We start from the raw sequence: 23,301 nt of genomic DNA on the forward strand, positions 1-23,301 counted from the left end.
TCAATTTTTAACTTCATTTAAGTTTAATCAATTTAAATGTGAAGAGGGGCATGTAGCTATTATCTGTCCTGTGGGACATCACAGGTCCAAAGCCCACTTTCCGCTCTTCAATGCCTGCCTCACACACATGTTGTAGGCCGTGAGCTCTGGCTCCTGGAGGTGGCTGGAAGCTTCCAGCACTGGAAGGCTGTTTCACACTCTGATACCCTTGTTAATGCTGCAGCCTCTGCTAAGAATGCTCTTAATTGATACAATGAGGTGTGAGGTCTTTCTACAACTGCCCACCCTTAGACAAGGTGTTGCTTGGCCTGTGCAGAAGGTGAATAGGTGGTTTGCTTTCTCTGAAGCTGTGCTTTTTCCTATTTAACTCTTATGACTGAGCAGCATTTGCTCGAATTAAAATCTCCCCACATTTCAAAGCGTCTTTTCTACCTCTCAAGTTTCTCATAAATTGGGCATATTCAAATAAGTGACATGATGCAGGCAAGCCTCAGGTAAGATCCTTTGGCCATATTGTATATTACATGGTAACAAAATGGCTTTTTAAAGGAAAAGCTGATTATCCTCGAAGAGAGTTGGATTCTGTTAAGGGTTTTGGAGGTGAGCCCTGGGAAGACCTGTTATTTTCTAGACCTTTGAGGCTAGAGCTGGAAAGATTCTGCCCAGTGACCTTTGGCTGCTCCTTAAAAATAGCTATGATGTAAGAATCCTGTCTAGCTTCAGGCTTCTAGATGGGATCCCTTTGGGCAAGATCATTTGACAAAGCAGAATTACTCACTGCCTAAGTCAGAAGGCAGCACTGCAGCTCCCTGGGGTGGGGCTGCACCTCCACACTTTGGCTGGATCAGCAGCTGTTGATCAGTGGCCAGAGAACAGAGAGGGTGACCTGTGAACTGAAGGGTGGGGGAAAGTAGAAAGTGACAGATCTACAGGCAAGGAATTTTAAGATCCCCACCACCACCATCCACCCCCACCAAAAAATAAAAAATATTAGGAAGGACATTGTGAAGAGATGGCTGTTTGGCTGGCTCTGTTCCCCTCCTCTGTGCCTTCTGGCCTATCTTTGTTTGCTCATCAGCTGTGACATTAGCATAATGATTTTGTTCTTTATATCTAATAGCTCTATGTGCTGCCTGCCCCACTGACTGAATCATTTTATTTCTACTTGTGAGATCACAGACCTTTGACTACTTACTTACCTTGTCAGACATATCCAAGTGAACTCGGGGGGAAAAGCTAAGACAGGAAGTAGGGGTGGGGAAAGGAAGGATTGTTATTTTGAAAGATTGCCTGGGCTGGGTGTGGTGGCTCATGCCTATAGTCCCAGCACTTTGGGAGGCTGAGGTGGGTAGGTTGCTTGAGCCCAGAAGTTTGAGACCAGCGTTGGCAACATGGGGAGACCCTGTCTTGACAAAAAATAAAAATAAAAAAATTAGCCAGGCATGGTGGCTCATGCCTGTGGTCCCAGCTACTCGGGAGGCAGAGGTGGGAGGATCACTGGAGCCCCACTGTGCTCCATCCTGGGTGAGAGGCACTCTCTCAAAAAAAAAAAGAAAAAAAAAGTTTGCCTGCTTGTTGGTCCAACGTTAATAGCAGTGATTAAGATTAATAATTTGTATTCAGGTTGCACTCGATGTTTTAAAAAGCCATTTTACATAATATATTTGTTAAAAGTGAGTCAGAACATAAGAGAAAGCCCTATGCTTTCTTGGTGCTAAGGAAAATATTCTGGTTGGGTTACCCAGGGATAATGTAATTCTTCCCATAGAGCATGAAAATGTCATTACTCATAAATTGAGACTGGAGCTGCCTGAGCACAAGGGATATGTAATCATCTTCTGGCTGTGGTTTCCGTCCCTCTCGGCCAGAACTCGAGGATGGCTCGTTCGGCTGCGGGCCTGAGGCTGCTGGACACACAGAGGAAGCCCAGAGCCTGCCCGCCACTCAGGCTGCAGGGCACACCTGCCGAGAAGCGCGTCTGGCCCCCACGCACTTGTTCTCTGGCCCAGACAGAGACCAGAGTGGCCATGTCCTGGGAAATTCTCCCTGAGCCACCAGGCGTGTGTGCTGTGTGGATTGCATACACCAAGCATGGAAAGGCAGAGGCAAGCAGGCTGATGTCCAGGAGTCTGGAAGCTTTATTAGTGAAGCCATCGATGGGGATTCTATTTATATTTGTGAGATTTTCTTTAAAAAGTAAACACCTTTGTTAAGCATATTTTATGTATTATAAAAATCACCCATTTCAAGTGTACACATCAGTGATTTCCAGTAACTTTACCAAGTGGTGCAACCATCACCTCAAATCCGTTTTAGGACATTTTCTTCTCCCCTTAAGGACCCTCATGTTCTTTTACAGTTAATCCCATCTTCCCCTTTGCTCCAGGCAACCACTGATCTACTTTTCAATCTCTATTATAATAATTTATTTTCTGATTAGAAAAGTAATAGTTTCCTATTTTGGATAATTTAAATAATTCCAAAGAGAAAAACCGTGAATGAAACCAGAATCCCCCTCATTGACCTGGCACCAGGCTTCTCTCTCTCCAGCTGCTGCCTTCTGCTGACTCCTCGACTGCCACGGCTGGCAGGGCCCACACCAGCACTTCGACCACCCTCTATGCCATTCCTTTTGCCCAGTCTACCCCTGCCCCCACCTCACGATGCCCCATCTTTTGAAGGTCTGTCTCACATCCACTGCTTAACAGAGATTTCCCTGGTATCCAGGCTAGAAATAATGTTCTCTTCATGGAAGTTCCATGATGTCTCAGTCCTGGCTCCTCTGGTATCTAGGCTAGAAATAATGTGTTTTCCTTGAAGTTCCATGGTGTCTCATTCCTGGCTCTCAGAGTTTCCACTTGGTAGTTTACTTACCTAAACATGGGGCGTGTCTCCCCATTCACCCGAGGGGAGAGGCTGTCTGAGGACTGAGGTCCTCACTAGCTTGTTTTTGTTTCCTAACTCATCCGTACACCCCCCTCTCCTGCCACCACTGCGGCCACATGTGGCTCCTTTACAGTGGTCATCAGAGCTGTCCTTGCAGCCTGGCCAACATGATGAAACCCCGTCTCTACTAATAATACAAAAATTAGCTGGGCATGGCATGGTGGCGTGTGCCTGTAATCCCAGCTACCTGGGAGGCTGAGGCAGAGGAATCACTTGAACCTGGGAGGTGGAGGTTGCAGTGAGCCAAGATCGTGCCACTGCACACCCGCCTGGGCAACAGAGTGAAACTGTGTCTTAAAAAATAAAAAAAAAAGCTGCAATTGGTTGTTGAGTGTCTCATTGCCCACTAGGCTGCGGGCCCTGTTCCCAGCATCCAGAGGTCACACTCACTGCTGAAATGAACGAAGAACGAAAGCAAGCCGACCAAGTGGGTCTGCATGTCCGTGGAGTGTTCACTCTTCTCCACTTGAATGTTTTTGCTGTAGGTCCCAAAGCATAGTTGATCTCTTCTCACCCTAATCTATTATTAACAGCACCTAAGTTCTTATTGGAATTAAATAACGAATAATCTCAAAATAGATGGATAAACCAAATTGTGATGAATTTCTTTTTCTCTGCTGCAGAGAATCTTGTTTTTCCCACTCACTCGTGTACATTCATGTTCATGTGTGTACTCCCGCTTCATGAAAAACCTAAGATTCTCTTTAGAAATGTGAATTTTAACTTGTGGACACTTTTAACTTTCTTCCCCACAACCCACCTTATCACTGGATGGTTCTGGTGCCTTTGGCGCTGCCCCCGCCAGCTGCCGGACAGCGACTCTAATCCTCCCTGTAGGCTGCCTTCTTTCTTGCACGTGCCTTGTTCTAGACCGCACAGCATTGGCTCCCAGCCAGGCAGGGTTCAGGACCAAATTGACCTGCGCCGGTGACTCTGATTGTGGTTTTGTATGATCGTGTAGATGAGTGGGCAGTGAGCATCTCAGGGGTTAGTAACTGGGACAGTTACCCTTCCTTCTTCCCAAGCCCAGGCCAGCTGGCCTGACCACCTAAAACCTAAGTCACTGTTTTCTCACCTTTCATCAATGAGGAGCCATTAGTATCTGTGCAGTGTAAAATATGCTACTATGTGGTATTCTTAGAATTTTACATTCTTGGTGTGTATGTACATAATTCTTCCTCTGAAAGGGCAGGCATCGTGTTTCATTTACCTTTGTAAATTTATTTTATTTTATTTTTGAGACAAAAGTCTCGCTCTGTTACCTAGGCTGGAGTGCAGTGGTGTCATCTTGGCTCACTGCAACCTCCGCCTCCTGGATTCAAGTGATTCTCCTGCCTCAGCCTCCCGAGTAGCTAGGATTACAGGCGTGCGCCACCTCGCCTGGCTCATTTTTGTATTTTTAATAGAGATGGGGTTTTGCCGTGTTGGTCAGGCTGGTCTCGAACTCCTGACCTCAGGTGATCTGCCTGCCTCGGCCTCCCAAAGTGCTGGAATTACAGGCATGAGCCACCACACTCAGCCTCCTTTGTAAATTTACCTACTGTTGCTGTATGCAAAATAGGTGCTCAATAAATCACTTGAATGAATGAATTCACACATGCATTTGCTATATTATGTTTGGTTTAAGGTGTTAATAGAACTAACATTTTATCTGAAGCCCCTGTAGATTCTGTCTTTCACATATTCGATGCCCAAAAAAATATTTCAGTATACTGATTTCTTCCATCAATAATTTTTAAGCCTCTATTCTAGGCCAAGCCCCATGCTAAGAGCTCTGGTAAATATAAAATACAATAAAGGTGGATGCTACCCTTTAGAACTTAGTGTGTGAGATCACTAAGATGAACACGAGAAGAGCCTGCCAAGTGCCTTAAAACATTTAGAAAAGGGGCTGGGTGTAGTGGCTCATACCTGTAATCCCAGGTCTTTGGGAGGCCGAGGCAGGTGGATCACTTGAGGTCAGGAGTTTGAGACCAGCCTGACCAACATGGTGAAACCCCGTCTCTACTAAAAATACAAAAAGCCAGGCATGGTTGTGGGTGCTTGTAATCCCAGCAACTCGGGAGGCTGAGGCGGGAGGATCACTTGAACCTGGAAAGCAGAGGTTGCGGTGAGCCGAGATCACGCCACTGCACTCCAGCCTGGGTGAGACTCCATCTCAAAAAAAAAAAAAAAAAAAAATAGAAAAGAAAATATTGGAGGATCTGGGGGAGGGAGGGATCACATTCTGCTGGGGTTGCTTAGTAGAGAAGGTGGCGTTTGAGTAACTCCTGATGGATGAGAAGGCTTTGAACAGCAGGGATAGGGAAGACGTTTCCGTCGAATAGAACAAATTGAGCACATGCGTAGAATCAGGGAAGGAGAGAGTTCAGTTTGGAGAAATATGAAGATGAAACATGGAAAATAAGGATGGATTGTGGAGAGTGTGAAATGCAGGAATAAGTAGTTTAGTCTTTATTAGGGACACAACCCCAGACAAGCCTGCCATAGCCCTGAAGCGGGGAGTGGGGCAGGCAGAGACTAGGAAGCGGCAGCAGGGAGCAGGGGAAGCCATAGCCTTAGTCCTGAGAAGGAGCAGTGAGGCGCAGCCAAGGCAGTGGACGTGAGAATGGCATGGAGGGAATGTTGGAAGACGGGTCTGCGTATGTAGGGTTAAGACCTGGAATTTGTTGAGAAGCGTGCCGCACGGCTGGGTGGCAGCACTGGGGTCAGAGATGACTCTTGGGTGTCAAGCAAGTGAGGAGGGTGGGAGAGAGGGCTTTGTAGGAAGGAAGAGCATTGGAGGAAGGAGAGCTGGCTGCATACTTGGGGCTGCCTGCAAGTAGAGGGAAATGTGGCCCTGGAGGCGGGAACTGTGACGGGAGTTTCATTCCTCACTCACCTGTCTGGCTGCCAGGACTGTCAATGACAGTGGAAATCTAGGCGTGCTTGCTGTCGTAGGTTACTCATCAGCACGGCCTTCTGTTTGTCCTTGTTCCTTCCAGTCGTTCCTAAGACCGCACCTTAAACTGCGCTTTTCAGCATTTAAAAATTTAATGCTTAAGGCTGATCTTAGCAAGACATAGCTGATGACATTGTACCTTGGAGGAAGGCCAGGTACGTGAGAAATGTTGAGTTGTTTAATCCTAGGGCAAAAGTTCCCCAAAAAAGTTTATTTCTGAAATGACAGTCATTAATTGATCATTTATTTAGCAGAATTGGCTGTGGATGCAGACGTTATTATACACCTTACCAGTGTTTTCCAAGTACATTTCTGTTTCTAATGTAAAATTTAGTCCAGGCGTGGTGGCTCATGCCTGTAATCCCAGCACTTTGAGAGGCCGAGGAGGGCAGATTGCTTAAGTCTAGGAGTTCAAGACTAGCCTGAGCAACACAGTGAAACCCTGTCTACAAAAACTACAAAAAAAAAATTAGCCAAGCATGTTGGCCCGTGCCTATAGTCCCAGCTACTCAGGAGGCTAAGGTGGGAGGATCGCCTGAGCTCAAGAAGTTGAGGCTGAAGTGCCCTCCAACCTGGGCGACACAGTGAGACCCTGTTTCAAAAAAAAAGAAAAAAAAATTAGTACACTGAATGGTGTATAGAAATCGGATGCCATATTGCTTTAAAAGTGGTGCCATTTTATCTTCCTATTTAAGATAATTATACTAAAAATAAAACTTTCCTTTGCTTGATGGTATGAATGAATACATAAGGTCCCAAGTCCCTCTTCTCGTCCTTCTCCTTCTCTGGGCCTGTAATCTAGAAGCCCAGAGTGTCACAGAAGCCACAGGGGCCCAGCAGTGGGAACTGGCCCTTGGGTTGATTCAGGGGAGTGGTCCAAGCCTGGGAAGTGCGAAAGTGGGTTTCGAGCTCGTTTTCCACTTGAGGGAGGGAATCTTTTCAGGCTCAGGGCTCTGAGTCCGTACTTGAAGGCTCTTCCTGACTGAAGTTTCGCATCTTGAGTTGACTCGCATTTGAACTGCTGTCACGGAGACTTGCTTGCTCCTCGTGTACCTGTTGGTTAGGAGGCTTCCATTCCACCCAATTTAATCCATGCGGACGGTGTGTGTCCCCACTCTCCTGCCTTCTTGCTTCAGGGAGAAGAATGGGGGCACCAAGGCTCTTGCCCTTCCTGTTCCCTTTTATCTCCTTTGCCTAGCAACACCCCCCCAACACACACCCCCTCACAATCACACCCTCACTCTCACACCCTCCCACACACCCCCCGTCACACCCTCTCATGTCCACTCTCATACACTCTCACAACCACACTCACACAACATGCAATCATTCCCAATCACTCACATCCACACTCCACACAACCACACAAAATCACATCCACACACACACTCAACCACACTCATACCCCACGCAATCACAACCACACAACACACATCCCAATCACACCCACTCACATCCACACTCTCACCACACTCAACACACACCCCACGCAATCACACCCACTCACATCCACACTCACACAATCACACAACCACACTCATACACACCCCGTGCATCACACACACTCATATCCACACCCTCACACCCTCACAATCACAGCCCCCCACATCCACTCACACAATCATATCTTCACTCACACACACCCTCACACAATCATTCACATTCACCCCCAACTCACATCCACACACACACCCTCAAACACACACATGCTCCCTCACACACCTACACATACTCACATTCTCACACACACATGTGCATTCACCTTATACTCAGTCACTTACACCCTTACACACCCACTTACACCCCCACAATCACACCCCACACTCAAATCCACACAATCTCTCACATCCACAATCACACTCTCACACACCCACACACCCGTACACAATCACATTCACGCACTCACATCCACAATCACACCCACACACACCCATACACACATTTACACACTTACACAATCACTCACATCCATAATCACATCCTGAAACCCTCACACGCCCACACACACCCATACACAATCACATTCACACTCACATCCACACTCACACTCACATCCGTACACAATCACACCCTCACACACCCATACACAATCGCATTCACACACTCACACAATCACACCCTTAGTCCCTTAACATGCTCCCTCACACACCTACACGATCACTCATACCCACATTCACTCACATACACCCTCATGTGCATTCACTCTTATACTCAAGCACAGTCACACCTTTACACACCCACAACACCCTCACTCAGTCGTACACACTCATTGACACACACTCTCCGTCCCCAACACACACACGTCTTTTCTCATTCGCACCCAGCATTCGCTCGTGTGCCTTTGCAGCAGACAGAAGACTCTGCCTTTGTTTCCCCTGCTTGGAGCTTGCTGTGGAGACTGGGGCCTGGGGCCCAGAGCACCAACCCCAGTACAGTCCAGCTTATGGGTGGAGCCGTGATTGAGAGTCAGAAGTGGGGGTTTCCTTTTATTCTAGGCTTTCGACGTAATTCTGTCATTGAATGTTTTGAAATATTTTTTCTTCACTGCAATGATTGTCTCTTTACAAACTTTCTAGCATAACAATATAAGATTGTTACTGTGAAATATATACAGACCTAGACTTTTCATTAGCCCTCTATTCATTTGTAAGATGAAATTGTTACAAAGAATGTATGACTGAATAAGGCACAGTACATGCACCGGCCAGGTTTTAGGTGGAGGTGAATCATTATCAAATGTTCTCTCTAATGTCCTTGCTGTCCTTACTTTAGATTCACAAGGAAGCTGAATAAGAATCTCCTTTTGTTTTTGTTTTTTAGATTCAGAATATGAACAACATAATCTCCTTCCCTTTGGACAGTTTGCTGAAGGGGGACCTGAAAGGAGTGAAAGGGGTATGACATTGACACTGTGACACCAGGGGCAGCTTTTACACCATGTAGAGTCACAGTAGCTTGGCCTGCCGGGCAGCAGCCACGCCAGTACGTTCTCATTGGGACGATAGGATGGCTCTTTTATCTCAGCTTCCTCTGATTTGCCATCTTGGGACCACCTTTCAGCCAAAAAGGTGGTGACTTCTGGCCTTTCTGGCCGTCCTGTTGGCACAACAAAGTTGGTGAGGGGAGGAGACTGGGAAGGGAAAGAAAACTGCTATTTTGGAAAAAGTAAAGAGTTTCGGTCTCTCCAGGGAGCAGGGAAACCTGTGGGAGGAGTCGGGCTTTCTAGCTGGCACGTTGCCCATTTAGCACTGGGAAAGGATCCTAGCAAGGGTGTATTTTCCTGCTGGGAAGGTCGCAGTCGTCAGGCATGAGCCAACTTTGTCTCTCTGTCCTTCAGAGGATGTTGGCTGTTTAGGACATGCCTAGCCACCATAAGCACGCAGGCCAGGAGCTGTTTAAGGGGGCAGCAGACGGGGCTGGAGGGGCGTTTGCTCATGAGCACGCAGGCCAGGAGCTGTTTCGGGGGCAGCGGACAGGGCTAGAGGCGCGTTTGCCAGGCAGCGCGCTGCCCCTGCGCATCGCCAGCCCTGACAGACGTGCACCACGGAAGGGACGTGATTGTGGCTGCCTTCTCGGGAGACTCAAATTCTTTGGATCTGCGCACGATTCCTGGGTCCCATCGGGGATGACTGGAAACCCAGTCTTGACCCATCTCCAGGACCTCTACAGAGGCCTCTCAGGGTCTCCTTCACAGAGTGTGCCCGGAGAGAGCTGTTCAGACACATTCCCCATCGAGCCTTCAGGGGCTTGGAGAACAGGTCAGCGGAGTTAGCCCAACTCACGGGCGGGAAGGCATCCCAGGCAGAGGAAAGGCGCAGGTGCGCACAGGGAGCAGGGCTCAGTGCTGCATGTCAGGCTGCCAGGGTGCAGGAGGAGCCAGTTCGTGCAGGGACTTGTGTGCCAGGCTGTGGCACTTGGGCCTTACCTGAGGCCATTGAAAAGCCAAAAAGTAGTCAACAGCAACAACAAAAAGATTTCTGTCTCCCTGAAGAACCCCTTTGAAGGGAGCATAAATAGGTGAGGACCATTCAATAGAATTTCCAGTGGCTCAGTAGTTTTTGAGGCAGGCTTTACCAGAGTGTATGAAGTCCTGAATTGCACACGGAAGAGCAGTAAGAGACCCTAGGAGGATGTGGCGGCCTTTCTATTTCTGTCGTTGGGCTTAAAGCAGGGTTAGATGTGATGAGATTCATCTATCAATTAGAGTTCCTTTCTTTTAGAGAGACATCCTGAAGTATTTGCAGATGAAAGGTTGTCTTTCAGGATTTACTTTCAGATTAGGCCCAGGGCAGGGAGTAGGGCACAGGTGACACAAGGTGGCCCAAGAGTGTCATAACTGGGTGGCAGCACCTTGCTTTTGTGTACATTTAGTATATTCTATATTATTTTAAGAGAAAGAAAGGAAATGCCACCACTGGTCTACTTAAAAGCATGTACTCTTGGTTCTTTATTTTTCGTGGGATTACATACGTCATTTATTGCAGAAATTAATGCTCCTTTCAGGGCTAGTACAGGGATAAGTAAGTTTATCTTGCACAGAAGTGAATGATTAGTCTTGCCTAATTTATTATTCTTTGTTTACAGGATCTGAAAAAGCCTTTTGATAAAGCTTGGAAGGACTATGAAACAAAAATGTGAGTGTTCTCGTTTTTAAATTTACGTATAGGTAATTTGGGATTTCAAATTTAAACCAACCTCGTATTGCTTAAAGGGATTGTCCAAATAAACCTTAATCCAGAAAAGAATGTTTATCAGCCATGTTGCTGTGGTTCATTTTGATGACAGATGTGTTTGGTGATGCTGTCTTCTTCTTCTAATCTGTTTTCTTCTGTTCCTTTGTCTAAGATGTCATAGTGGTTATAGGATGTTATTTTCAGGAAAGTTCATTGAGGGAAGTTAAGACCAATTTCTCTTAGGAGGTATTTCTTTCTGTTTTTGTTTTTAAACACTTTGTCCATTCCGTTACTGTTTTTGATAGCAGGGCAGTTTTCAGACTTCATCTTCCTGGTGATTTGTGAAAGCTGCTTAGCTTTGTATCTGTGTTTCTCTGAAATACCAGTTCCCTTGGTTTTAGAAAGAGGGTTCAATACCTGTCTCCTTCAGATTCATCTGCCAAAAAATAACCTGAAGAATGGAGAATTGATTCTTGGATGTGAACTACGGTTTCTACAAGAAGTAGAATTGGTTTCCTGACCCGAAGTCAACCAATAGACAAGACTCTGTTGGTTGACTTCAGGCAGTTGTAACTTCCCCAATCACAGTTTCTCATCCCTAGAGTAGAGAGAGTCGAGCTACAGGGAATTGATCAAGCAAGTAATTATGGGGGGAATAATGGCTTCAATTATTTTAAATACTGGAAAGATATGAAATGTGGTGTTTACTTTGTAATCTCTGTGTCTTGGAGTGCTCTGAATGGAAATAGAAACTTCCATATGAAGCTATCTGTTAAACTAAAAGGTGTTATGAGGAAGTCATTTCAAATCTAAGTACAAGTATTTCATTAGATTGTTTAAAAAAAAAATAGCTCAGGATATCTTTCCAGTGGTGAAGGATCACAAAGCTCAAATCAGTGAGCCCCACACCTTTGATACTCCTTCTATCCATGGGAATCTTACATTTCCATACCCGAGGTTGCTTGGCCCCGAGTTCTGGAGTTTCATTGATGGTGTACATTCATTCAGAAGCACAGGCAGAGTGTTGACTAGAGAACCCTGCAGGTCCATTCAGCCCAGGGAGGCCCCCACCCAGGATCCCTGGTCCGTCAGCATCCTTTATTTGTGTGCCAGTTGGGTGAAATAAATGGGAAGGGACCAGCGGATTCCTGCTTTGCAGAGGGAAAACCAAGAGTCAGTGGTTTCTGCTTGTCAGCCAGTAAGAGTAATTGAGCCAGGCCAGGAAGCAGCTTTCCCACTTCACTCAGCCTCCCTTGCTGCCCGTCTCTGTGGCTGATAGGAAATGGTCCTGTGTGTGACTAGACCAAGGGCAGAAAGGGCTTTCTGAAGAAGAGTGCCTGAGAGAGTCATCTGGTTCTGAAAAGAAAAGGTTTGGAAGAAGGATAACATCAAATTCTGTAAAATCGAGACACACATGGGTAGGATGGGGACAGAATTCCTCACAAAACCCTAGAATTTAGGAGGAGGGAGCAGCACCCTTTAAACTTGAAGTAATTGTAGGATAAATAAAGGAAATAATTCTTTATTAATGTGGGAGATTCATTTATCCCAAGAGGTTTTGTGATATGTAACAACCATAATAGGTTTTAGATGTCTTTAAAATTCCTGGGCAGTAGTCCCATACCTGATTATTAAGAGAAATGACCAGTGTCTGGACGGTCTCTTGCCTGTGAAGGAGTGTCAGCGACACCTTGGAGTTGTATAATTCTAGTCCCAGGGACCCTCCAGTCACACTCCTTTCCGGATGCATAGACTCATTAAACAACAACATCCCTCCCAAAGGGTCTCCTGTGTGTTTATTTTTCACTCATTCACTCCTTCAAATTATTGAGAACCTACACAGTGCAGGACACACAGAGAAATCACATTTCTTGCCTCTTCTTAAACACTCTAGTCCTCCTTGCCCTAATGACAGGGAGCCCTCTGGAACCCTGAGTAGCCCATTTCATCACTGGATGCCTTTGAAAGAACATGCTACTTGGGTCTTCTGGTGTCTACTTCAGGCTCTACAGAAAGAGCTGCTTCCCTTGTCTTCATGGCAGCCCTTTCTGTTTTTTGAGTGCTTTCTGTTGGTTTTGTTTAGTCTCCTTTTCTCCAGAATAAAAACTCACGGCTATTTCAAGCCCACCTTAGCAGCCACGATTACCCTGGTGGCTCTTCTTTGGATGTGCTCATTGGTCAGTTTTTACCCTGAACTGCACACTCGACATTTAGGTAATACAGGTTAGGCACAAGATGAATGTAGAAAGGATAATTAAGCCGACAGCATGGAAAGGTGGTTGGTCGTCTTCTACAGTGATGAGCGGTGTTGTAGGTCAAGGCAGAGAGCTGGCCTGGCTTCACTGAGTGAGGAGGTGATGACAGAGACTAGGGAGGAAGTCCAGGAGGAGAAACAGTGGGTAGGGAAGAGTCAGACGGTGCCCTTGGGTTACTAGAGGGCAGGAAGGCTCTGAATGCTGATGCCAAAGGAGCCCTCCAAGCCCTGTGCAGACTTCCTACCTCCTCTGACCCATACCTGACTCAAAGCAGGTGCCTAGGAAATACTTGTTGAGTAAGTGGGAAGACCCGGTTTGACATCTTCGTGAGGACACCCATTTTCCTTTTGAGGGAGTTGAGAGGCTGCCTGTGCTGAAACGTGTGGTGAGCGTTGGTCTCGCCAGGCTGGGTACTGGGGTGGCTTCAAGGCTGTCCCGTTGAGTTCTGTGCCAACAGGCATCTTGATGTATCCTTGCTTTCACACGTAGAACCAAGATAGAAAAGGAGAAAAAGGAACACGCCAAGCTCCATGGGATGATTCGGACTGAAATAAGCGGAGCGGAAATTGCCGAAGAGATGGAAAAGGAGAGGCGCTTCTTCCAGCTACAGATGTGCGAGGTAAGGCGGTGGTGAAGGCAGGTCCTACAGCCCAGGCTGTGCCGGCTCTGCCCTCACCTGTGGGAGCATCTCACCGGTACCAGCGGCTTCAGAGAAAACACCACATGCATTGCTGGACTCCCTTTGCCCCTGTGTTGACATTTCTTTTACTAGGGAAGCGTTAGCCTCCTGGAGGGTAGAATTAGGTTACTTTAACACCAACATTTTCTTAAAAGTAGAGAAAAACCACTAAATGTCTAGAATGTTCTTTCTGGCTTCACGTACGTACTCTTGCTAAAATATTTATTCCTTGGGTGTATTTAAATGAGATCTCTGAGTTCCCTTGTACCAATGGAGTCAGTGACTGGCTTGTGGGAGGGTGAGAAGTCAGCTGAAAACAACATACAGCGATGACAGACCATGGCCTGTGTCAGTGTCTGTGAGTGGATGGGAAGTCCAGTCACCTGTTTTGACTTCCTGCTAGACCTCACCTGCTCAGGCGGGGGCACTCATCTAGCCCGAAGGCCCAGGTGGCCTGGGGAGCGCCTCTCTGCTCCACTCCATTCCACCCGCAGCCTCAGCCCTTCCCTTAGTGAGGCGGAGACAGCAGGATGGACACTCTCAGAGCATTTCTCTGAGATCAGAGACCATGGATTATGAAGGCCTTTGCTCACAGATTTTTTATTTTTGTGCCTTGCTTGCCAGGTACGTGTATACAAATGGCACATGGAAACAGCTGCCACCTCTGCCTGGGGTTAATTCCTCCTGGCAGTGCCAGCGAAGCTCCCTTGCACTGGATGGTATTTGTTTCCCTCTCATAGCAGTGCAAACTTAGGTTTCAAATGTACACAATGTGTGGGTGATGTTTGTGACAGGCACTGAAACTGGCATTGGCCAGCTCTTAATTCCCTCTGAGCAATCAACAACAAAGCTAATCCAGAAGGCACTTTCTGATTTTGGAATGTATGTTTGTTAATTGTAGCAGGAGCTTAACCCTTATAAATACATATATCTTAGAAATGTATTTAAATGAGTTTTTATTCCCAGAGCAGACTCTTAAGTGGTCAGCAGAGAGGAATCAGTCCCAGGAATCAGGGTGGCAGTTGAAAGTTAAGTCCATTTTGTCTAATGTTAGAATATCTACTTATCTTAGCCTGTTTTCTGTTGCTATAACTGAATACCTGAGAATGGGTAATTTATAAAGAAAAGAAATTTCCCAGTTCTGGAGGCTGCCAAGTCCAAGGTTGAGGGGCTGCATCTGGTGAGGACCTTCTTGCTGGTGGGCGCTCTGCAGAGTCCTAAGTCAGTGCAGGACATCACATGGTGGGGGCCTCACAAGAGACAGCCAAACTGGCTTTTTAATAGCAGACACACTCTTCTCATAATTGTACCACTCCCCCAGTAATCCATGAATGGATTAATCCACTCATGCAGTGACCTCCCAAAGGTTCTACCACTCAACACTGCTGCATTGGGGACCCAGTTTCCAACATGTGAACTTTTAGGGGACACATTGAAACCATATCACCACTCCAGCTCTTTTGGTTACTATTTGCACCCTTTTACATTCAACCTGTGAATCTGAAGTGTATCACTTATAGATAATATATATAGCTGGATCATGTTTTTCTTATCAGTTTGACAATCTCTGCCTTTCGATTGGATTGTTTAATCCATTAACGTTGAATGTTACTATTGATATGATTGGATTTACTTCTGTTATTTTACTTTTTTTTATGTCTGTCTCGTGTCTTTTGCTCCTTGATTCCTCCTTTACCGCCTTGTTTTTCATTGAGAGAATGTTTAGAGATATTCACTAGATGAAAAACAAGCAAATATTTTTAAATATTCACTTGATGAAATGAATTCTCAAGATAAAGCCTTTAATTAAACTTAAAGGGTTCTTATAGACAGGAGAATGGATGTTTTTATACACATTTTTTTGTAAACACATATCATGTGTAGTGTAAGAGGTTGCATTCTCAAAAGAAAAGCACATACCATGTATAATACCACCTTCCTGGCCTACCTCATAGAGTGGCAGAGAAATCAGCGAGACAGCATGAGACAGGGACTAGGAAACTGCTGTGTGTTATACAAGCACAAAGTATTGGTTTTTGTTTTTGTTTTTCTCAATCCTGCTTCTGTAAGGGTATTGTTTCTAATTAAGTACTGTAGTAGCATTTTACAAACAATCAGGGTGAAATTAAGTAGTAGTGTTTTACAAAGAATGAATTTGGAAAGGGGTGTTTGTGTTCAGGTCATGCTCTTTTTGGTTAGTAAAGTAGACATCTATTTACCTAAACACTTTAAGACTACTTAAAATGCGTACTGAATTTTGACATTCAAGTAGTATGTGAAGGTCATAGCCATGACTTGAGGAGTAATTGGTTCCCCACTTGGCTCTGTCGTTGCTTCCTGTGGTATGCACCTTGCACTGGTTACTACTTCTCTTCTGTATCCAGGTGAATTGATCCTGTGAACTGACTAAGTCATTTATTTTAATGGAAATACACTGTGTAGATGATGCCTCTAAGTCATAGACTTGAGCCATCTTTCGAGCAGTCCTCAGGTAGTGCTGGGTCCTGGCTCTGCAGAGCTGGCACTTGGAGGGGTCAGGCACTAATGTTTCACAGTTGAGTGAGAGCTGTACTATATGCATGCATAAAAGCAGAGGTGGGCTTATCTAACAGTAAACTCACAGTTTTCACAGGAGAAGACATCTGATGAAGAGTGTAGAAGTTGGCCAGATAGTCATGGGCCGTGAAGGCCTTTCTTTCCATGGGTGAGAAAGATCATTTGAAAAACAGTTCCTTGAGAATCCAACTCTGAAGTGAATTAGATTGCCTGCATTAAAATCATGTTAAAAGGCCGGGCAGGGTGGCTCACACCTGCAATCCCAGCACTTTGGGAGGCTGAGGTGGGAGGATTCCTTGAGCCCAGGAGTTCAAGACCAGCCTGGGCAACATGGTGAGACCTTGTCTCTACAAAAAAACAAAAACAAACAAACAAACAAACATGACTTTAAAATTATTTGACTGTTTCCCCAAACTGAAGTTCTCAAGCTTTAAGTGCTTGCTGTTGTTTAGGTGTTTAAAATTTGAGTTGCCCAGGATCTAATCCAGAAGAGTGGCTTTCAGGCTTTTATTTTAAAGCTATGGAGCCCTTTCTTCAAAATTCATTTAATAAAGAAATTCAGTATGTCAAATAGGTAGTACAGACCTTCTGTGAGCGGAGAAGGCGTGAGAAGATCCTCTGTTGCTGATTGTAAAAATAGTATATACTTTTAAAGAAAATTGGTTAATATAAGAAAATATATATAAAAGGAATTAAAAATCGCCCCCAAATTTTACTTATCCAAAGATAACCACTTTGACATTTAAGTAAACATCTTTATATGTCCCTATGTATACATTCAAAAAAAATCGTATAAGTAGATCTTTCGCTGCTGATGCTTTATAACCTATTTTCACTCTCTAGTATGTTGATGTCCATGTCAGAAATTTTGGGTTTTATTGGCTTAGTGGCCGCACAGTATTTTCTGTATGGATGCACCATATGTTAATTTCCCACTCATTAGGTTTGGACTGTTGCCATTGTTTACTTTTATAAACAGGATAGCAGTGTATCTTCTTTTCTGTTCATCTTTGTAAACTTTTGTGGTTATCTTCTTAGAATAAATTCCTGGGAGTAGAATTTCTAGGTCAAAATGTACATACGTTTAAAAATTTGATACATTACCAAATATTTAATATCAAAAAGAAAGAGGGAAAGAAGGACCTATAGGTGGTTGTTACAGGCAGAAGGACAATTTGTAGCTTACAGTTTCACAGCAGCTTTCCACCTCCTCCTTGGGCTGCAGAGAGACCTCAGCCAGCAACTGAACTTGGGTACCCCTACCCCACCCCCGCCCATCCTTTACAGCTGAGAGCCAGGGCATGAATCAGCAGCTTTTCCAGGGGACATTCCATTTCAGAGATCATCTTCTGACAGCGGAGGGGATGGGGACTCATGAAGTCCTTCTATTTCCTGACACTGGTTTTGTAGCTCCCTGAGGCTTTCTGATAGCTTCGTGGTCACTAATGAATTCTCCAAGTTAAAAATAGCTTTAATTCATTTCAATTAAACTTTGTTTTTTTCCAACAATCACATTATTTTCCTTGTAAGGGAAATGTCTCAGGACGAGAGACATGATGCCAAGCATCTCAGCTACAATACGTTAGCAGTTATTGTTCCTAAAGTAAGGGACCTTGGGCAGGAGTGTGTTTGAGATGGTTAGAAATCCCATTTATTTGAACCATCCATAGTCTTCCATGTAGCTAGAGTGAAGATTTCTCCTAGCAGGCCAGGATAGACTGTCTTATTATTAGGAGTTTTTGGCACTTCAATATTTAATTATCTGACTGTCAGATAATTCATATGGCCCCAAAATAAAGAAACGGTTACGGAATCCAGGCGATACTAAGTGTCGATCATGCACTCTACGCATTGTAAAAGATGCCAAAGAAGTAGAAGAAATCATCTCAGTCCTCAGAAGCTCCTTTTAAACTCGTATTCTGCTTACTTCCATGACATTTCCTTTTCATTGTTCAACAGTATCTGCTGAAGGTCAACGAAATCAAGATTAAAAAGGGAGTAGATTTACTTCAGAATCTGATCAAATACTTTCATGCCCAATGCAAGTAAGTTCTTCTCTGTTATGTTATCTTAAATGTTTGTTCATGTGTGGCAACTTCTGGTAGATCTATAGATAGCTCATAGGAAATAAACACCACTTAGAAGTCTATAGTAAAGGGAATGAGGTGCTGACTCATGCGACAACACGGGTAAACATTGAGAACACGTTCAATGAAGGAAGCCAGACACAAGAGGCCATGTACTGTATGATCCCATTTATTTGGAAGGTCAGGAATAAGTACATCCACAGAGACAGAAAGCAGGTGAGTGATTGCCGCAGCTTGGAGGAAGAAGGAAATGGGAAATGGCTGCTAACGGGTATAGGGTTTCTTTGTGGGATATTGAAAATATTCCAGAAGTGAGTGCTAATGATTGCACAACTTTGTGAATTTACTAAAAATCACTTTAAAAGGATGAATTTTATGGCTTTATGGCTTAGGGATTATATCTTAATTAAAAATAAAAGCATATATACAACATAAAAAATCTGTAGTAATTGCCAGATATATTTATTTTTGGCTCTTTTTGTAGAGGGACAAACTCATTTGACCTATTCCGCAACTCTCAGATGTTTGTTAAAAGAGAAATGATACGATGTTAATGCAGTGTTTTAAAATAAGAAAACACTTTTATATATTATCCTGTGGAGCCAATGACTGTGATGAGCAAAGGAAGATGTTAGTAGAGGAGAAGGAGAGGATTCCACGTGCAGGGGCTGCTCAAGTACTCAGCTTTGCCATCTGTGTCAGTACTTCAGTCTGACCCACGTCTCTGACCTGGCTTCTGCTCCTCGACCCCCAGTCACTGATATAGACAGGCCTCTGGCTCCTTCACTCACCCACCCAACACACATGTCAGGTGCTGGACCAGAGGCGAGAGACACAGTGATGTACAGTGCTGGCATAGTTCCTACTCAAAGAGTCAAGTAGGGAAGTTAGACTGAAAGAGACAAATTTCTAATTAGATGTTTACAAAATTGTTTTAAAGTATAGGAATCTAAGAAAGAATATAATACAGGGACCTGATTTAGATAAAGATTTAGGGTAGAGTTTTTTGTTTTTTGTTTTTCTATTTTGTTCCCTGATACAGTCTCCAACAGCCAGCACACAGTGCCCGGAACACAGTAGGTACTCGGCTGTTTCTTGAATGAGCTGCAGGCCTCTCTGAGGAGACATGGATCTGAGATCTAAAGTATGAGTAGGAGCCGGCAGATAAGGAGTGGGGGAAGAACATTCCAGGCAGGGTCTAGGTCTTAAGGCAGGAAAAAGGCCAAGGTGACATAAGCTCAGTGAAAAAGGAGAGTGGCGTGAAACGAAACTGCATGGAAAAGCCTTAGGGATGTGGATGGCCCCAGACATCTTGCAAAAGTTTTTAGATTTTATCCCAAATATGTTGGGAAGCTCTTGAAGAAATTGAAGCAGAGGACCATTTGTATGCACTCCTGTGATCTGCCAGGCGCTATTAGGGGTTTTGGTGATGCAGTAAGGAGGAAAACAAAGTTCTTGCCTTCACGGACCCTGGGGTCTCATGGGGGAGGCAAGTAGGAAACACGAGCCAATATTTAACTGAGTTTATGAAAAGGCAAAACAGTGATGGGGAGAGAGACAGTGGTGTTGGTTAGAAGCAGCTTCAGGAAGCTTCTCGGCTGTAACAAGATTACTCTGTGTGTTGTGGAGAAGGAACCAAACAGGACAAGGGTGGATGTGGGCAATTGCTTGTGTACACAGCTCCTGTCCCTGTGCAGACCAGAGATGACGATGGCCCACCTGGCTTCGTGACAGCGGGAGTGGAAGGTGTGGACTGACAAGAAATCTTTTCCTTGTGGAATTGCCATGCCTGTCTGCTTACCTTCCCAGAGCAGGCTGTGCCACCAGCAGCCTACCTTTGTACAGAATTGTTTCTTTTCCTAGAAGGCCTCTTTCCTTTGTGCCCTCCCTGTCTTCTGTTCCTCCTAGGACCCAGCTTATGGATCATTCCTGCTTTGCGATGCTTCTTCCTTTTGGAATTCCTTTTCTTCCTCCTGTGTTGCCACCACACCGTCTGCTTGTCTCCATGATGACATCTTCCTTGTGTCTCTGTGCCACTGAACTATATGCTCTTAAGGAAGGGGCCATGCCATTTATTTGTTTTATATCTACAGTGTGTGGCACATTTACCTGGCACGTATTTGCAGCAGTGAATTGCACTGTGGAATTGAACTGAGCTCTGCTTTGGAATTCTTAATACAGCTTTGATGATGTTGCATTTCTAAAGCACTTGAGGTCAGGCGGCAAAGGAGGATGTGCTGAGTGGTTCATCCAAAGTTAAAAGAGAGCTTCAGCCATTTAAAAAAAAGAAGAGTGAAATCATGTCTTTTGCAGCAATAGGGATAGAACTGAAAGTCATTATCTTAAGTGAAACAAGCCAGCCGCAGAAAGACAAATATCGCATGTTCCCACTCCTAAGTGGGTGCTAAGAAAGGCATACCCATGGATGTAGAGAGTAGAGTGACAGCAGAGTCTCAGGAGGGTGAAGGGAGTGGGGATGATGAGAAATTATTAATACTTAGTAGGTACAATGTATGTTATTCTGGTGATGGATACCCTAAAAGCCCTAAGTTGACCACCAGGCCTATAACAAAACTGCACTTGTACCCCATGAATTTATATTAAAAAATATAAAAAGAGAGCTCATCTCTACTTGGTGGAAAAGACCTTGCAATTATATAGTTTTCAAGATGAATTATTTTATGGAGACTCAAAATTCTTACTTTGTGATGAGCATGCAAATTACTTCTACAGTTCTTATGTCAGGCAATTTAGGAAGTGGGTCGCTTCCTTGCTGATATTTTATTTTTAAGAAGAAGCTATTCTGGGATTTCCTTCCCCCGCCCCTTTATTTTGCCCAAACCAGTCAGTTGGGTAGCAACAGACCACTTGTGGAAAAGTGAAGTAGTTGGCCTTTTATGGACATGATCCCAGTAACCTTTAAAAATATGAATCTTCCATTACTTCGTTTTTGGATATGAGAGAGAGTGTGTACGCTGCCTGCTCTTCAAATCAGTCAGGCAGCTTTGACTTTCTCAATTCACATTCTGGAGGGTACAACGTGGAGCTCGAGCAACTCAGCTGCAGAGTAAGAGCTCGCAGCCGTGCGTGTTTCCACGTGTGGGAGCGCCTCTCATTCCCCCACCACACACGCCCAGTTTCCGCTTCTCGCCCCCAAGGGCACAGCTTTGCCTGCTGGGTGCTGTGCCCTGCTGGGTACACGCGGGCCTCTGCACACTGCTGTGCTCCGCCAGGGTGAAGAGGCCACTGTGTAAACCAGATTCCAGGGCTCAGGTTTGGCTGTTGACCCTTGGAACTACGTAGATATGCGTTATTTTGCTTTTTCTTCTCGCTTTAAGTGTTCTTAAAGAATACTTCGTGTTCTTTTATTTTTATTTCATTTAAGGAAGGAATTTTCATCTCTACCTCTTTCCTGGAATATCTTGAAAACTTGTCTTATTAGTCTTTGCTCCTGAACATTGAAGATCCTGTACTCTAGCGGAATCTAGAAGTAGGGCATTATAACATTATAAAATAAAGACAGCCATGGTTTGGCAAGGCATGGTGGCTCATGCCTGAAATCCCAGCACTTTGGGAGGCCAAGGGGGGCGGATCACCTGAGGTCAGGAGTTCAAGACCAGCCTGGCCAACATGGTGAAACCTGGTCTCTACTAAAAATACAAAAATTAGCCGGATGCGGTAGTGCACACCTGTAGTCCCGGCTACTCGGGAGACTGAGGCTGGAGAATCACTTGAACCCAAGAGGCGGAGGTTGCAGTGAGCTGAGATCATGCTGCTGCACCCCAGCCTGGGCGACAGAGCGATTTTTTTTTTTCAAAAAAAATACAACCATGGTTTGAAAGGTGGTGATGAATGTTGAATTGACTTGTTCTTTGAGCCAATACCTGCTGGAAACCACTGTGACCAGCTGTTGCTCAGTGAACTTGGAATGCATGGTCAAGATAAGGCTCAGCCCCGGATGCTGCAGAAGCTTGCAGAGGAGGGAGGGGCGGGTGTCACAGACAGACCCCATCAGCAGACACCGCATTGGAATGTGGTGGCGTGAAGGCTGCAGGAGGGGCCCTGGCACGGTGTGTGGGGCCCAGAGAAGAAAGGAGCTACTCTGCTTGGTGGGTTTGATAATTGCCTCTAAGTGGGTGTATTTTAAAGGATAGAAATACACCCCTTCTAGCCTGGTGAGGCAGGCTAGAAAATGTTTAATAGACAACAAAATTTGATTGGGTAATGTTGATGGTAAAAGTTCTGTGAAGCTTGGAAAAGTGTTAATGGGCTCAACTTAAGAAAATTTTCTGGGGCTATGTAGTTAGGACTGTCATAGGGACAGCAGCCAGCGGAGAAGGAATAGTGTTCCTTTTCTTGAAGCTTCTCCTGACGCCAGGGCTGACTGCACTTTGAAGGGGCGTCTGGGTGCCAAGACACACCTCAAGGAGGGTACGGGAAGGTCAGCACTTTGAAAAATCAGAGGGAGGAGATTTTCCAGGTAGGTGGATGGTGAAGATTGGCTGGGCTATTACAGAGATGAAATCTAAATCTAAATCCAAATTCATATTGTTATTCCAAGTACACCATTCATCGTCATGCTGGAAACAGCATCCTGACGAGAAGTCTCTGAGCACTTGATTCCACTACGGGGCTCATGCTCACGCGCTCTCACTCTCGCTCTCTGTCTGACCGTAGGGAGAATTGCCAGGTCGCAAAGATTCTTGGAGCTGTACACCTGCTCCCTCTCCCTGGGTGGTTTTGCATTTATCACCTGTAATATTTTTCCTACTCCTTATCTTAGATCTTAGAGATCTCTGTCCTCCTATCTATTTCACAAGAATTTGAAATGATTAAGAAAATAGTTACATAAAGAAAAACACGTAAATAAAATACAAGAATTAGATGAGTTCAGAAACATATTCTATATTCAGAAAAAAACGTATTAAAATACAGGAACAAGAGTATAAAATAAAGAATGATGTGTCTGTCTAAAGGTGAATGAAAACATTCTAGCATCCTGACCTCTGTGACTCCTAATAAACACTGGTCAGAGTTCATGCCCCACGGCCTGTGTGTCCCTCTCCTTCCTCCTTGGAGTTGCTGCATTAAAGGCCACGCTGCAGTGTTTTCACGGCGCCTTCTGTGTGTGACGCATTTGGTCTGAGAAACACCCATAGAGCTA

At 44.9% G+C, this 23,301-nt stretch overlaps 1 protein-coding gene across 22 annotated transcripts in view; it reads left to right on the forward strand.

Moving 5' to 3' along the window:
• ASAP2 (ArfGAP with SH3 domain, ankyrin repeat and PH domain 2) overlaps positions 1–23,301 on the forward strand; it is a 198,867-nt gene that overhangs the window by 103,005 nt on the left and 72,561 nt on the right. For 17 of the 22 annotated variants that reach the window (XM_011510403.4, XM_011510407.3, XM_011510404.3 and 14 more), the window contains 4 exons: positions 8,708–8,782; positions 10,472–10,521; positions 13,305–13,434; positions 18,010–18,095. In XM_011510403.4, coding sequence (XP_011508705.1) covers positions 8,708–8,782; positions 10,472–10,521; positions 13,305–13,434; positions 18,010–18,095 — 341 coding nt within the window. The remainder of the gene's footprint in view (positions 1–8,707; positions 8,783–10,471; positions 10,522–13,304; positions 13,435–18,009; positions 18,096–23,301) is intronic. The other 5 variants (XM_011510405.4, XM_047446199.1, XM_047446208.1 and 2 more) reach the window with 1 other exon arrangement.

Source organism: Homo sapiens, chromosome 2 (assembly GCF_000001405.40).
Source record: "Homo sapiens chromosome 2, GRCh38.p14 Primary Assembly".
In the NCBI taxonomy this organism is placed as follows: Eukaryota; Metazoa; Chordata; class Mammalia; order Primates; family Hominidae; genus Homo; species Homo sapiens.